This window comes from Homo sapiens, chromosome 7 (assembly GCF_000001405.40).
Source record: "Homo sapiens chromosome 7, GRCh38.p14 Primary Assembly".
NCBI classification, from domain to species: Eukaryota; Metazoa; Chordata; class Mammalia; order Primates; family Hominidae; genus Homo; species Homo sapiens.
The window spans coordinates 6,246,909-6,264,162 of NC_000007.14; the positions used below are offsets into that span (position 1 = coordinate 6,246,909).

Sequence of the window (17,254 nt, forward strand, 5' to 3'; positions counted from 1 at the left end):
CCGCATTCTTGAGTTATTCAAACAATCTTTTAGTTGGTTAGAATATATCCATGAACAAGTTTTGTTTAAGAAAAATTTACAGAAGGCATACAGAAAAATTTCAGGTACAGGTAGTAGAAAAAAGCTGATGGCCTTAAACAGTAAGGAAAGGTACTGGCTCACATAACTCCTAAGTCCAAAGGCAGGGTGAGCTCCCACTGAAGGCAGTGTGCTAGCTCCAACTTCTGTATCTTCAGAGAACATCTTTCTGCTGCCTTCACAAATTAACAACAATTAGTGTGACTATTTAATTCTTAGTTACAACCTTTTTTCCCTTAAAACTTAGCCTCAGCTCCACGACACTATTTTCTGGCAATGTTATAGAAAAGTCTAAAACCATCCCGATTTCGTTGTAAGTAACCCTCTCCCCAGGTTCTGACTGGCTGTTTGCAGGGTACTCTCTTGCTCTTTCTTGCTCTTCCCACTAATTTTATCTAAGGCAGAATGAGCTCTTTGAATATACAGAAACAGCTCGTTTTTTTTCAGCTCAAAGATACTTTTTCCCATTGAATCTGATTATTGTTTCTGTTCTATTTGTTTTGGTATCTTCTTTACGAACAACATTTATTCAGATCACAGCAATAATTTAACTTTCTACATTGTAAACTTTTGCTCTTCATGAATCGTAAGGGAGTTTAAAATTCTGCAAATGCTTTTACTGTCATTACAGTTTCTTTCAGCTCTTTCATTTCACTTTATAATTTTTATTTATTTATTTTTGAGACAGGGTCTGTCGCCCAGGCTGGAGTGCAGTGCTACAATCACAGCTCACTGCAGTCTTGACAACTTCTGGGCTCAAGCGATCCTCCCACCTTAGCCTCTGAGTAGCTGGGACCACAGGTGCAGCGTGTACCACCACACCTGGCCAAATTTTTCTTGTTTTTTGTAGAGACGGAGGGCTTACCATGGTTCCCAGGCTGGTCTCGAACTCCTGGTCTTAAACTCCTGGGCTCCAGTGATCCCCCCATCTCAGCCTCCCAAAGCGCTGGGAATACAGGCATAAGCTTAGTGCCCAGCCTCATTTTATAACTCTCTCTGCCCTAGTTTTCAGCTTGGCCTGTTGCTTTATCTCATCTTTCAACCACTTATTTGTGTTTCTTGAAGTTTATTAAGAACAGCACAAAGTAGATTCAATCTGAAATTTACTTCTCATTTCTATAATTACTATTTTCTAAATTATACTATTCCTCTGCCTCAAAAATTATATCCCCCTCCTATTTTCTTTTGGAAACATGTTGCTTTATTCTTTATTTCTGAACAATAGTATTTAGACCCATCCTCCCCCAACCCCCCCCCAGCCAAAAAAAAAAAAAAGAATAGCTGGACCTCCTCCTCAGAATGCTGCTAAACGTTGGTGGGTTTTTATTGTTGCTGTTTTCTAACTCTAAGTTTATAGGCTGGAGGATGCATATATAAACTGCACTGCCTATTCAGAGATGTGGTCCATCTTCAAGGGAACGTCAGCTCTGGGAGCCTCCTTCTCTGAGCCTATCGTGTTGCTTTTGTTTTCTAGTTTCTGCATCTAACTCTCCCTGTCTAGACCTGGCTTCCACTCCAGATGGGTGGGATGCCACCCAATGCACCAGGAAGGAGGACTGTGGCGCCCAGGAGAAGCTCTAGCAGTTTTGAGCGTGTTGAAGCCGCGTGTGTCCTCTGGCCTCCCAGTTCAGCTGCTCATCAATATCGCTGCTGCACAAGCCCACCCCGGCTGCCCGTGGCCACTCAGGGTCATCAGGCCTCCCTCGCTCTCTGCTCTCCCAAATTAGCACAGCCAACACCACATCTCCATATGTTCCTCACAACCCTGCACTGAGTTCTAAGGAAACAGAGTGATGAGTCAGGCCCTGGTATTTCTTCACCCTGATCCCACTATCTATTCTGATTCAGCTTTTCATCTCTCTTTTTCTCAATCACTTCCATGGGGATCTGGTGATTCAAGGGAGGGGAGGTAAGAAGTGAGACAAAGCCTAGTGCCCAAGTCACATCTTCCTGGAAGTTGCCAATGACCATTTTTCAGTGTTCTATCTTCTGAATTCTTTTGATGTCAGCTTTCTCTGTTTCTATAGAAATTTTATTTTAAATTTTCTCTTTCACGCTGTTGGGTTTTTTCATCCATCTGGAGGTCCTTGCTGTTTGTACACATTTAAAAATGCGATGAAGCTAGCTATGTCTTCCTTTGGTGTTGCGTGTAGGTAACTTTTCTCACTCGATTTCCCTTTCAAATGGGAAGGTTCACTATGTTCTGTGTTTGTGAGCACAGCTTGTCCACTGGAGGGCTTCTCTTGGGGATGAAAAAGATAGGGCCCTTTACTGGAGAAGCCGCATAAACAAAACAAACAAACAAAAATGTTAAAAAGCTTTACTTGGGGTGTTGGTACACACCCATTGAGTTCCAATTCTCCCCAGGCAAGGAATCCAATCTCTGTAAAGAAAATTTGCTTATGGGTAAAATGCTGTAGACTCCTCAAAACAAGAGGAACAGGAAAGGACAGAGAAGAGTGTAGAAAACCCTCCCAGCACAGTGGCTTCGGAGGGCCTTTGAATTCTCCTTATTTGCAGCACAATTTCCACGATCACCAACAGAACCCAAAATCCAAACACTAACTAGTCTGAGCACAGCCCCGTGAGGGGCTGCCCAGAAGCTGCTCCTGCTTACTCTAAACCCTCCTTCTGTTTTATCTGCTTATAGGTTTCCCATTTGTAGTTTCCTTCCAAAAGTGTGTTACACTCTATCCTTTGCAAAAGGTCCCTTCCCAGGCTCTTTTTTCCCCACCTACGTTGAGATACAATTGACAACTAAAAATTGGATATATTCAAGGTGTACATCTCGATGTCTTGATTAAGGAGACACTGTGAAATGATGACCACAGTCAGGAAGATTAACATACCTCTCGCCTCACATAGTTACCTTGTGCTTGTGTAGTGAGAATACTTAAAATCACTCTGCAAATTTCAAGCATACAATACGTTATCTCTAACTGTAGTCACAGGGCTGTACATGAGGTCTCCAGAATTTATTCATCTTACAAATGCAAGACTGTACGCTTTGACCAACTTCTCCCCACTTGCCCCCCATCCCAGTCTCTTCCCTGTCATTTGTCGAGATTTTGGGGTGAACAGGGGATGGAAATTTGTTGTCCTATGTCCACCACTGGGATCACACTGGAATCCCCGAGAAGTAGACTCTTCACGCTTCTGTTAACAGATTTCAGTATGGCTCCCTTGGGGAATTCTGTTTCTTGAACCCACTATTGGTCTTCAGAGAGAGTAAAAACTTTCTACAGACAACATGATTCTACTCCAGATGCAACTGTTCATAAGATTATCAACTAAAGGATTTCAATAGCAAGGATTTGATGTGGTCCTTCAAATAATACGGGTTAAAATAAACTTCAACCTTTTCAATAGGAAGAAAACACAAGCAAACCTAAAAACCTTCAAGATAGCACACAGCCACAGATTCAACCATGTGACAGAGGTGAGCAAAACCTCTCTGACCACTCCCAACACTAAAACCAATCCAAGTCTCAGTTCCACCCACAGGAGAAGCACAGACACTGACACTGAATCGAGCTGCAACACGGATGAACCTGGGAAAATGACTCATGCCACAACATGGATGAACCTGCTGAGTGAAAAATGCCAAACACAGAAGACCACATATTCTATGATTCCATTTACGTGACATGTCCATGGAAACAAAAAGTCAATGAATGACTGCCAGGGGTTGCAGAGGAGGGGATGACAGCTAATGGGGCCCAGGTTCTTTTTGAAGTGATAAAAATGTTCTAAAATTAGATAGTGCTGATGGTCGCACAACTTTATGAATATACTAAAAGCCATTCAATTGTGTAATTTAAAAGGATGACTATAATGGCATGTGGATTATAGTGATTTCTAAAAAGAGAATAGGTGCTTTATTACCAAATACACTGAAGGTGCACAGTCCCTCGCTCCTGTAATATTTCACTGGATCAGAAATTACTTCAGAGCACAGGGTCTCTGCTACAACACAGAGCAGCAAACCAATCATACATAAATCTGAGAAGAGCCGGGCTCAGTGGCTCACGCCTGTAATCCCAGCACTTTGGGAGGCCAAGGCGGGTGGACTGAGGTCAGGAGTTCAAGACCAGCCTGGCCAACATGGTAAAACCCCATCTCCACTAAAAATAGAAAAATTAGCTGGACGTGGTGGCGGGCGCCTGTAGTCTCAGCTACTTCAGAAGTTGAAGCAGGAGAATCGCGTGAATCCAGGTGGCGGAGGTTGCAGTGAGCCGAGATCACGCCATTGCACTCCAGCCTGGGCAACAAGAGCGAAACACCGTCTCAAAAAAAATAAATAAAATAAAATAAATCTGAAAAGAAAGCTATCAGACTATTCTTTTTTTTTTTTTTCTTTAAAGGAGTAATAATGAGGCAGGAGAGAAGGAGGGGAGACATGTAGGAAGTTTCTTGAAGGGCTACAAAAGCGTTTCTTTCAGTGGGAGGCAGAAAATCAAAACGTGTGAGAAGCATGGAGACGGAACCCTCTCAGTGTAAAATAGGAAAGGATTCTTCAAAATACCGTTCATGGCGGCGCAGACAGAGCAGCAATCTGTGAAGGACCGCAAAATTCTCCGCCCTTAAATTTGTTCAGTAGTGCTCATATATTACATCCACTGAAGTGCCACTGGTTTATTATTTCCGTAAAGTTTAAACAGCCTTAAGACACTGAACAACATTTTTGTGCTGAATAATAAATATGTTTATGACTGATGCCCTGAACCACGGAAACGTAAAAAAGAGCTTCTAAAAATAGAGTACAGGACTTCAAAGAGGCCTGTCCATAAAATCAAATCTACAAAGAATAACTCAGATGGTTACCACAGAATCGCATGAGTTCTTCACAGGCACCATTGGTATTTAATAGTCCCCAAACAGGACGTCTGGCTACAATTACAAGAAATATGAGAAATCTGACCCCCTTAATGTGAAAAAAGAAAAACAAAATGCTTGAGATAAGTATGTGAAAATCACTAGTCTTATGATCATTACATTGATCATAAAAACCACTTTAAAACATAATTCATTTTCAGCTACAGGATGGTGATATGGACCTGGTCCTGTTAAGACAGAGCAGAAGATGCAAATCTTTTATAGAAATTACACTGAAACAGATAGGCAAATGTGGAATGTAGTTTGATTGAACTACTGATTCTGAATTTATTTGCTGTATGGTAAATGCATAAATTTGAGTACTACTGAACAAATTTAAGAGAAACTGGCTTTCTTTCACAGATCCTTGCTATCTCTATACCAGCATGAACATGAACAGTATTTTGAAGAATCTTTGCCCTATTTTACAAGAGGAGCGTTTAGTTCTCTGGGTTCTCATGCTTTACTATTTTCTGCCTCCAAGGAAAATAATGTGTCAGCCTCACATATACTCTCTGGTTACGTGGCGTGTACATAATTAAAAGGGAAAATTAAAATGCCTTCTAGACTAGTCACGAACAAAATTAATACTTTAGAATGGAATTTAAATCAGTCATCTGAAAGGGAGACTCCGAGACCCTGTTGCTATTTCTTGAATACTTTTAGAGGAGTGTCATTTTTTTTCCCACCCTGCCCTTTCCTTTATTGGCTTTTCATACAATGAGTTTGCTGTGCCCATCACCGGATACATGAACAACAACAAAAAAGCTACAGCTGGATCCTGTATTAGTCTCAGCTGCAGTTAAAGCTCTTTTTTTAAATCAATAGGAAAGTGTTGAGGGAGGGAAGAAGAAAAAGATGCATTCCTGAGAGATTTAAGGTTTAGTCTTCATCCAAGGATCTGACAGCAAAAGTATCTCTTGAAAATTATGTAAATATAGTTTGTCTTACTAAATTTTCCAATTGTTAAGTTCATTTCTTTATAAAACCATGGCCAAATATTAAAATAAAATCCTCACTATGTTAAGCCAGATAACTACCTCCGGATGGGTGTGAGTCTGAGAAACCACTGTGGATGCTTGTTCCAAATTTACCCACACACACATTCCACTGACATCTGAACCACTCCGTAACTCCTTCTGGTTACCAACTTAATCCACACTTACCAAAGAACAAGAAAAATGAATGTCACTTTTACCTTGAATCAAAATGATTTTTAACATATTTACAATTAAAAAATTAAAGAAACTGAAGCACTTATCAATTCTGCTTACACATGCAATCTAGTCTATAGGATGCAAATAATGATATTAGACAATAAGCCTGGACTCTTCAAAAAGGTGTCACGAAAACAATTTTTTTTTTTTTTTTTTGAGACAGAGTCATACTGTGTTCACCCAGGCTGGAGTGCACTGGCAGAACCTTGGCTCACTGCAACCTCTGCCTCCTGGGTTCAAGCAATTCTCGTGCCTCAGCTTGAGATTTCAGGTATGCAGCACCATGCCCAGTTAATTTTTTTGTATTTTTAGTAGAGATAGGGTTTCACCATGTTGGCCAGGCTGGTCTTGAACTCCTGGCCTCAAGTGATCCGCCTGCCTCGGCCTCTCAAAGTGCTGAAATTACCAGCCTGATCCATCGCACCCAGCCACCAAAACACATTTTAAAATTAAAAACAGCCGGGCACGGTGGCTCACGCCTGTAATCCCAACACTTTGGGAGGCCAAGGCGGGCAGATCACAAGGTCAGGAGTTTGAGACCAGCCTGGCCAATTTGATGAAACCCTATCTCTACTAAAAATACAAAAATTAGCCGGGCGTGGTAGTAGGCACCTGTAGTCCCAGCTACTGGGGAGGTTGAGGCAGGAGAATCACTTGAACCCGGGAGGCGGAAGTTGCAGTGAGCCGAGATCATGAGACTGCACTCCAGCCTGGGTGACAGAGTGAGATGCTGTCTCAAAAATAAAAATAAATAAATAAACAAAAGAGGCCAGGTGCAGTGGCAGGCACCTGTAATCCCAACTACTCGGGAGGGTGAGGCAGGAGAATCACTTGAACCCGGGAGGCAGCGGTTGCAGTGAGCCAAGATCATGCCACTGCACTCCAGCCTGGGTGACAGAGTGAGACTCTGTCTCAAAAATAAAAATAAATAAATAAAATAAAAAATAAAGAAAGGAGGCCAGGTGCAGTGGCAGGCACCTATAATCCCAACTACTCAGGAGGGTGAGGCAGGAGAATCACGTGAACCCGGGAGACGGAGGTTGAAGTGAGCTGAGAGATCGCACCACTGCACTCCAGCCCTGGCCACAGAGCAAGACTCCACCTCAAAAACAAACAAACAACAACAAAAATAAGACTGATAAAAGATAACTAAATAGAAGGTGTAAATCTTAATTAGAGCCTAGATAGGTTTAAAAAAAAAAGAAAGCTATAAAAACATTTTGGTAACAACTGGGGAAAGCAGAATGTGTACTATTTTGGAACAATATTATGGAATGACTGTTAGTTATCTTAAGAATGATAACGGCTGTAGTTATGTAGGAGAATGTCCTTAGAAGACGAGTGCTAAAGTATTTCTTTGAAAAGCGTTATGATGTTTGTAACTTTTTGAGACGGAGTCTCGTTCTGTCGTCTAGGCTGGAGTGCAGTGGCGTGATCTCAGCTCACTGCAACCTCCGCCTCCCAGGCTCAAGCTATTCTCATGCCTCAGCCTCCCAAGAAGCTGGGATTACAGGCGCATACCACAATGCTCGGCTAATTTTTTGTATTTTTAGTAGAGACAGGCTTTCACCATGTTGGCCAGGCTGGTCTCGAACTCCTGACCTCAAACAATCTGCGCACCTTGGCCTCCCAAAGTGCTGGGATTATAGGCGTGAGCCATCGCACCTGCCCATGTTTGTATCTTGCTTTCAAATGGGTTCAGTCACACACACACAAATTGTAATACAAAGACAGACAAGCAAATGTGGCCAAATGTTAGCAGCTGGTGAATTTAGGTGAAAGACATATAGGATTCATCGTACCATTCCTTCAACTTTTCTGTAGATTTGAACATTTTCAAAATACAAAGTTGGGAAGAAAAGATATAATAATCATATTGCCAATCATCAGTTATTCCTCAGCCCAAATAAAACAATTCTTCCAACTCACTCTACTCAGTATGTAAAGACAGGCAGGCCAGAGGCTTAACACACTGATGACTAACAGTTTTGAATGCCTACTATTACAATCGTCGAGATTTTTGATAAATTCTTCATATAAATAATTTCACTTCGGTTTTTTAACAGCTTAGGGAGATTAAGTAACTTACACAAAATCACAAGGCTAGAAATGACAGAGCTGCAGATATTTACTTAAAAATATGTCAATACCAAATATTTGTCAACACCAATCAGGCTCAAATGTTTAAACAAACTTATGTAAGCATACAGAAAGTATGAATACAAATTCTCAGAACCATTAACATTATAGATGACAATATTCTGCCTTGAACAAGGGGAATTACCCGAAATATCCTCAATGGCTGACCTGATATAGCAAACAGGGAAAAGTTCTGAAATCCTAATTCCTAGAGACCCCAAGGGAAAAGAGGGCCTCTCCAATCCCACAGGACTAAGACTATTTAGGAAGGAATGGCTACATAGTTATCTCCAGCATGATGCATCCCAACAGAGTCGGCCGTGAAGAAGCTGGGCTGAGGACCAGAAAGGCCCCCACCACAGCACTGCAGTAGTCCTGGGGGTCCAGCACCTCATCAAGATAGGGAGGGAGGGATATGTTGGGGACATCAGGAGAAAACAGCTTCTACTTCAAGTCTCTTATGAAATTAAGGACTTACAGACTCCCTATGTGGGGGAGACGCTCAGGTTAGTGTGACTACCCAAGTTTGACCTTTAATCTGTTTTTTTTTTTTTTTTTTTTTTTGAGATGGAATCTCCCTCTGTCACCCAGGCTGAAGTGCAGTGGCGCGATCTCTGCTCACTACAAGCTCCGCCTTCCAGGTTAACGCGATTCTCCTGCCTCAGCCTCCTGAGTAGCTGGGACTACAGGTGCCCGCCACTACGCCCAGCTAATTTTTTGTATTTTTAGTAGAGACAGGGTTTCACTGTGTTAGCCAGGATGGTCTCGATCTCCTGACCTCGTGATCCACCCACCTCGGCCTCCCAAAGTGCTGGGATTACAGGCATGAGCCATTGCGCCCGGCCAACCTTTAATCTGTTTAACCAAAGTTGAAATGGCCCTGTCAATAACTTTACAACTCTAAGGAAACAGCACTCCTGTAAAATCTGTTCTTGAAATTCCCAGTCACTGATCCAATCAACTACATTTCGTGATGGCTGAAACCAAGATAAAACCGCCTACAGCAAGTCCTGAGACTCGAGAACTTCTGCCGGGATATTCTCTCCAAAGGGAGTCACTGGCCACTGGTTCAGGCAGGGGGCCCTAGAGCACACTCCCATTTGTGGAACTCCCAGGCAGGCCTGCACCAAACCTCAAGGGGGCTGAAAGGACTAGGATAGTGGACTTCTCTCTGAAGACACAAATTCTTTGCTCCCCTTTACAGGTATAACAGAAATGGGAGATAAATGTTTTAGCGCAGAACTTAACAAGACTTCTGAAGTAGATGGTCTTCATTACCTTTAGATGCAAGACAGTCCGCTCTTCACCAGAATCATAATAGGTAATACTTGACAGGAAGACATGCAAAGAGAGAAGCCCCCAGACTCCTCTCCTGAGAAGGAAAAAGTGGGGAGCGGTGGAAGCAGTGGGAAGGTAATAGAGACTTAAATCCTAAAACAAATGTCCAAGTACTAACAGCAGCAGAACCCAGGGGAAATAGCTTATGTTCTTTCCAGATGAAAAAAATTAAAAAGTCATGTTCTGCATGTCCAGCCAAATTACTGGGCACTTGTCAGGCAGAGCAACTACTGGGGGAGCCAAGGGAGGGCAGGACACACCACATCCATGTGGACTCTGCTCCCTCTGAGAGCTGTCATCAAGAGTGAAGCTGGCGGGACAACGTGTGGCGAGCAAGAGCTAGCAGACTTCAAGACCAGTCTGACCACAAAAAGGAAGGAAAGAAGGCATTTGACTTTCTTTTGTGAAAACTGAAACATCCTAGTAACCATCTGACTAGTATACAGTTTAACCACTACTTTGAACTAAATTTCAGGAACATAGTCCATAACAGACACCCTGTGATTCCCGAGAAAACGCAACATTTTAGAAGAAGACTTATCCAACGTGAAGATTTTTTTTTACATAAGGCAATGAAAGGCATCATTTATTCTCGAAATGTGTCATGCTCTCAGAAGTGTGGTCATATACTGAATCAAAGTCTACAATCACTCATCTTCCCACGCCTGGGAAATACAGCCTCATCATGTGAACAGGCCAAACATTCAAAAGACACTAAAATTCTTCAATTTTCCCATACTCTAACACAAACAAAACTGAATTCATTTGTCTGATCCTTTCTCAACTCAAAAAAATTTTAATCTAATTACTGAAACTTGGAAAAGGACATTCTTGATTATTTTATTTCCTCTCTGTAAAGAACTAAAAGGAAGTCCTGTCTTCTAACAGAATATTAAATTGCCAATGCCACCTTTGATTACTGCATACTTCTAAATGTACACGTTAAAATACACATAAAGATTTGCCAAATGAAACAATGTATTTCTAAGAATACGAAAACGTATTTTGTTTTATTAAAAGGGGAGAAAGTGTTAGTCTCAAAAAGAAAATATAACCTAGCCAAGTTCTTAAAGTAATATTTATATGGTTAATGAATATTTATGGCAGAGAAAAGGTGTTTTTCTCTTCGCACTCTATGGCGAGGAGATCCTTACTGAATGAATGACAGAATGAAACCTACCTGCTGCTACAGCCAGTATCACACCAGATGCCTTGAGCTCCAAGTTACAGTACACTGCTGTTCAATCATTTAAACAAGAGGGGTATTTACTGTCCCACATGACAGGAAGTGTGGAGGTAGGGAGGTTCCTGGGTGGGTGAAATTCAGCAACAGCACCATCTAGAATCCCGCTGGTCATCCTCAGGGTGTGGGCTTGGAAATGGACAGGCTTAATTAAGAGCCATTGTGAATGCAAGCTGGCTACTCATCCAGGTCCAACAAAGTCTAGCATAAGAAATGCAACAGGGCTGGGCACGGTGGCTCACTCCTGGGAGGATCACTTGAGGCCAGGAGTTTAGGACCAGCCTGAGCAACGTAGCAAGATCTTGTCTCTACAAAAAATATTTTTTGTTTCTTTGGTTTGCTTTTTCTTTTTTTTCCAAAAAATACTTTTAAATTAGCGCAGCGTGGTGGTGAGGGCCTAGCTACTTGAGAGGCTGAGGTGGGGGGATCACTGGAGCCAAGGAGGTTGAGACCGCAAAGAGCCATGATCATGCCACTGCACTCTGGCATAGGAGACAGAGCAAGACACAGTCTCAAAAAAAAAAAAGAAAAGAAAAGAAACGCAACTCCTCATATATTTATTTGTGAAGGAAGAAACTTCTTGCAGACATCCCCCTGCAAACTGCCCTGCATACTGGCCAGACTTGGGTGACACTTTCACCTCTCCTCCACTTATGGATAAGGAAAGAGGGATTATCCCACCTGCTAAGACTATTTAAGATATAGCCCTTTGTGGTGATAAAGTCCTCTTCCCTGATGGGTAAATATGTAAACAATTCATGGTTCTGTGGGCAAGGAAGCAAAGAAGGGTGGATTTGCAATAGGGCATCAACAATGTCTTCTACACAGAGTCAAATATGGCTGTAACAATGACGACAAGCTACAAGGCAACAGGCAACAGAGAAATAAACTGGTTGTTCAATCCTTCTTCTGTCCCCCAAATATCTACATCCCATTTTATGGTTTCAAATCAAGAGTTGTTATTTAAGTTACATTTTATAGAAACGAAAAAATATTGTTTAAAGTCTATCAGCCACCCTAATTCTTGAATCAACTATAAAAATAGCTCAATAATTACCGCTTTGATGAACCCTCATATTATCAAATTGTGGTTTTACAGAATCTCCAGAATGTGAAATAATAAATGCAACCCAGATGTTCACTAAAAAATGAAAACAAGATTGTTTTTACTTCATAGCAACCAAATAGGTCAACCCATTTCCTCCTTCAGAGAATTCTCAGAGGACCACAAACTCCACTCAAAGAGCATGTGTTTCATACGTATCTGTCCAGAGAAAAAGGAAACTCTGATGTCCAAAATAAACGGAGAATATTATATGTTCTCATGAAAGTGAATTATAAAGTTGCAGTAAGCCTGTGTCTGCACATTGCCAAACATCTGGATGAAAACTTGGGGGAAAAAAATCACTAATTACCTAGATATTGGGAAATACTTTCTGATCATCATCCAAATGCTTTGTTTTACAGCAAATTGCTGATTTTATTAATTACAGACATAAGTTTTTCAAAAGAAGACTACAGTAATTAACAATAGCCCTGTTGAGAGTTTAAAGCAGGAACTTTTATTCTCTCCTATTTGAACAGTGTTCCTGGTGACTTACTAAAAACCAAGTCAGCTCAAAGAGTAAATTTACTCGAGGAAAGTAAATCAAAATATCTTCTTGGCCAACTGAAATTGACTCAGGCGAGTCTCTTCCAATATTTACATAATAGTGAAAAGATATTTATCCGAAATAAATGCTTGCTGTATTGGCTCCAGCCAAATTATAAAGCACTACAGAATCTCATGTCTATTCTATGTTAATTGGGTACCTGACATTAACTATAAAAAGTTTATGTTGGGTTAACTTCAAAAACAGGATGGAGAGTCATGTATTTTCTACTCTCATTTAAATGATTTACTATTTTCCCCACAAACTCAAAATATTTTACATACATATATATAATATATATATATATTATATATATATATATTATATATATATAATATATATATATATATATATATATATATAATATATATATATATATATATTTTTTTTTTTTTTTAAGACGGATTTTCGCTCTTGTTGCCCAGGCTGGAGAGCAATGGCGTGATCTCGGCTCACCACAACCTCCGCCTCCCAGGTTCAAGTGATTCTCCTGCCTCAGCCTCCTAAGTAGCTGGGATTGCAGGCATGCACCACCACACCAGGCTAATTTTGTATTTTTAGTAGAAACAGGGTTTCTCCATGTGGTCAGGCTGGTGTGGAACTCCCAACCTCAGGTGATCCACCCTCCTCGGCCTCCCAAAGTGCTGGGATTACAGGCGTGTGCCACCGCGCCCAGCCAATATTTTATATATCTTAAGCAGCTTTTAGGGTACTTTGACAAAACCTACTTTTAAAATTTCATTTCATTTCAAAAGTTTCAACAGTCTCATATTACAAGCTGACAAACCCGCTTTTTAAAGGATCTGCCAATAATTTCTTAAAACTATATCTACCTCTCCCAAAGTTACTTATACTAAGAGTGTGAAAATGCAAACAGCATTATTATTCTAACATGCCTGATAGAAATGATTATTGGTCTCCTGTGAAAACTTCCTTGAGAAGTATTTCACTGCAAAACAAACATACCCTTCCCTCACTGAGCTCCAGCCACTCAGGCTTCCCCTCTATTCTCATAACATGCCACATTTCCAATTAAGGCCCATGGCACGTGCCTTTCCTTCAGCAAAGACACACCTTCCCCCACTAGCTCCTTAGCCCACTCCAGTCTAGCTAGCTCCCTGCCTCTCCCCAAATTGTTTTTCTTTAACATCACCAAGTCCAGTAGACATGTCCCCATCCCCATTTTAGGCCGTCTCTAAGTGCATTCAACACAGCTGATCGATCACTCCTTCTCTCTTCTGCAATGCCACACAATCTTCAAGGCTTCCTAGGCCTCACTGGTTACCCTCCCAGTCCCCTTTGCTGTGCTGTCCTCAGTCCTAGGATTTTTCTCCTCTCTCAACTCTCTTTCCTATGTGAGCTCTTCCACCCGCATGAATTAAAATCTCCCCAATGTTTATCTCCTACCCAAATTAGTCTTCTGAGCAGCAGACTGACACAGCCAACTGCCTACCTACCATCTCCACCAGGATATCTCACTAACAAGTCCATTTTAAATAGCAAAATTGAATTCCTGAGAGTCTGCTTCCAGTAAAGCTGACTAGCTCACTGCAGACCAACATTTCTGCCAAGAACAACTTAAAAAACTGAACAAATTATTAGAAACAACTGTTTGAAGGCATCAGAGAGCTACCCATGCAGTGAGGACTCTGGAGGCCAGGATTCCAGAGGGAAAAGGGGAGTGCAGAAAAGTGAGCCCAATCACCGGGGCCCCTTTTCTCCTTGAGGGATTCGCCAATTCACAGCAGAAGCTGGGAAGCCAAAATACCAAACAGAAACAAGTGACTGAGAATCCAAGAAGGTCAGCAGAATAGCCACCAGTCTTAGGGGACTGAGGGGACAAAAATTAGAGTTCAGGGGCTGCCAAGTAGAAGAGGCCCTGGGAAGCAACCCAAGCTTTCAGTGGGAACCACTAAAGGCTATAACCTAGAAGAAGGGTAAACCAGAATAGACCATGCCTCATAATTTTAAAGTGATATTCCGGCCAGGTGAGGTGGCTCAGGCCTGTAATCCCAGCACCTTTGGAGGCTGAGGCAGGCAGATCATTTGAGGCCAGGAGTTCAAGACCAGTCTGGGAAACATAGTGGGACCCTGGCTCTACAAAAATAAAAAATAATTAGCTGGGCATGGTGGCATGTGCCTGTAGTCCCAGCTACTTGGGAGGCTGAGGTAGGAGGATCATAGGATCATTTGAGCCTGACTGTGCTTCAGCTTAGGCGACAGAGTGAGACCCTGTCTCAAAAAAAAAAAAAAAAAAAAAAAAAAGGGCAAAGTGATATTCCCTTACTTTAACTGCCTGCCAAATCCTCAAATGAAGCCAACAGGCAGGGTCTTGAATTATCTCTATAATTTTTCACATACATTGTCCAGAATTTAATTAAAGCTCAACAGGCATATCTAGAATCAAGATCACATGACTGAAAACCAAGGATAAAACAGACAACAGAACACACTTACAAGGCATCCAAATATCGGAGTTATCAGACACAGACTTTAAAATAACTCTGATTCATACAATAAAGCAGTTGACAAGATAAAAAATGCCAGCAGAAAATTGGAATCTTTAAAAAAAATCAAGAAAACTGGAAAAGACAATAATGGAAATTAGGAACTCAATAAACGAGTTCAACAGCAATTACAGCTGAAGAAAGGATTACTACAATGGAATATAAGTCAGAAGAAGATACAGAGTGAACGATGGAGAGGCAAAGGGATAAAGGACACAGAAAAGAATCTAAGACATACAGGACACGACACAGAGGGCATGTTTAATGCACAGGTAATTACAGTCCTGGAAGGAGATGAGACAGGAAATGCAGCAGAAGCAATCAATGAAGAGATAATGAACAAGAATTCTGTAAATCTAATTTAAGATCAAGCTTTGTCACAGCACTGCCAAAGAGAAGAAAAAGAACAACTAATCCCAAGCAGGATACACTTGAGGAAAACCACATCTGGACACACCACATAACAGCTGAAAACCAAACCCAAAGAGAACATCTTAAAAGCAGCCTAAAGGGAAGAAAAAACACACTAACTGGAAAAGAGTGACAATAAGACTGATGCAGCTGACTTCTCCACAGAATCAGTGGAAGCCAGAAAGCAGTAAAACTACCCCTTCAAAACACTGTAGGAAGGCCAGGCTCAATGGCTGATGCCTGTAATCCCAACACTTTGGATCACTTGAGGCCAGTAGTTCAACACCAGCCTGAGCAACATAGTGAGACCTCCCATCTTTACAAAAAATTAAAAACTGCAATAAATTAACTTGAAAGCCTCCAACTATAATCCTGATGAAACTATCCTTCAAAAACAGAGGCAAGCTTAGCACAGTGGCACATGCCTGTAGTCCTAGCTACTCGGGAGGCTGAGGCAGGAGGACTGCTTGAGCCCAGGAGTTCAAGGCTGCAGTGAGCTATGATGGCGTCACTGCTCTCCAGCCTGGGCAACAGAGCGCGACTCTAATAAAAAAATTGTGTTTAAGTGGAGGCAAAGTAAAGGCATTTTTGACCAAAAAAAAAAATGAACCCTCACAATAGTTTTTTCCCCTGTTCATTAAGCAACACCACTACCAAGCCAGAAACCTAAAGTCATATTTGATTCCTACAGTTTCTATACCTCTAACCTTCTCCAAGCTGACAGTATGTCCATCTGATTCTCCAAAATACATTCCATCCCATAACAAGAGCTCACTTACGAGAAACCTTCACATGTACCCCTGAACCTAATATAACAGCTTTTAAAATATATATTTTGTCACTATAAAGCAACACAAATTAAAGCAATACATCATTTCTTACCCATGAGATAGGTAAATATTTAAAAGTAAGGCAAACACTGTGTGCTGATTAGAATGCTGGGAAATCACACTACTCACAAGCCCCTAATGAGAAAGCAATCTGTTATCTATTAAAACTGAAGCATGCCTATAACTCACAACTGCAATTCTAGAAATATACTCTAGATAAACTCACATTTGTGAGGGGAGAGAAGACTAGGGAGCTCACCTCAGTACCGTTTGTAACACCACCAGTGTAACATTGACATTAAAAAGTTGAACACAGGGCTAGGCCCGGTGGCTCACACCTGTAATCCCAGAATTTGGAAGGCCGAGGCAGGCGGATCACTTGAGGTCAGGAGTTCAAGACCAGCCTGGCCAACGTAGCAAAAACCTGTCTCTACTAAAAATACTAAAAATTTACCAGGGCATGGTGTTGCAAGCCTGTAATCCCAGCCACTCAAGTGGTTAAGGCAGAAGAATCGCTTGAACCTGGGAGGTAGAGGTTTCAATGAGCCAAGATCACACCACTGCACTCCAGCCTGGGAAACAGAGTGAGGACACTAACTTCAGGAAAAAAAAAAAAAAAGTTCAACACAGGACAAGATAGACAAAACGTGATCGCAGTTAAATTAAACAAGGTCTATATATAATCACAAGGATAATCTCTAATGCAAGCTGCAGAAGATTACATACAGTGTGATCTCGGCTTTATAATCTTTTTAAAACCAATTAGGGCCGGGTGCGGTTGCTCACACCTGTAATCCCAGCACTTTGGGAGGCTGAGGCCGGCAGATCATCTGAGGTCAGAAGTTCAAGACCAGCCTGGCCAACATGGTGAAACCCCATCGCTACTAAAAATGCAAAAATTAGCTGGGCATGATGGCGGGCACCTGTAATCCCAGCTACTCAGGAGGGTGAGGCAGAAGAATCG

The 17,254-nt window shown here is 41.5% G+C and overlaps 1 protein-coding gene across 3 annotated transcripts in view, besides 2 other annotated features; it reads right to left on the reverse strand.

The window, feature by feature from the left end:
• Positions 1-17,254, reverse strand: part of CYTH3 (cytohesin 3) — a 110,846-nt gene that overhangs the window by 85,130 nt on the left and 8,462 nt on the right. The window lies entirely within an intron of this gene.
• Positions 3,618-3,777: an enhancer, noted in NCBI's record as "active region_25619". NCBI's record gives its function as "activates an Ori minimal core promoter by ATAC-STARR-seq in GM12878 lymphoblastoid cells {active_cell/tissue: GM12878}" and the evidence as "EXISTENCE:reporter gene assay evidence [ECO:0000049][PMID:35858748]".
• Positions 9,728-9,777: an enhancer, noted in NCBI's record as "active region_25620". NCBI's record gives its function as "activates an Ori minimal core promoter by ATAC-STARR-seq in GM12878 lymphoblastoid cells {active_cell/tissue: GM12878}" and the evidence as "EXISTENCE:reporter gene assay evidence [ECO:0000049][PMID:35858748]".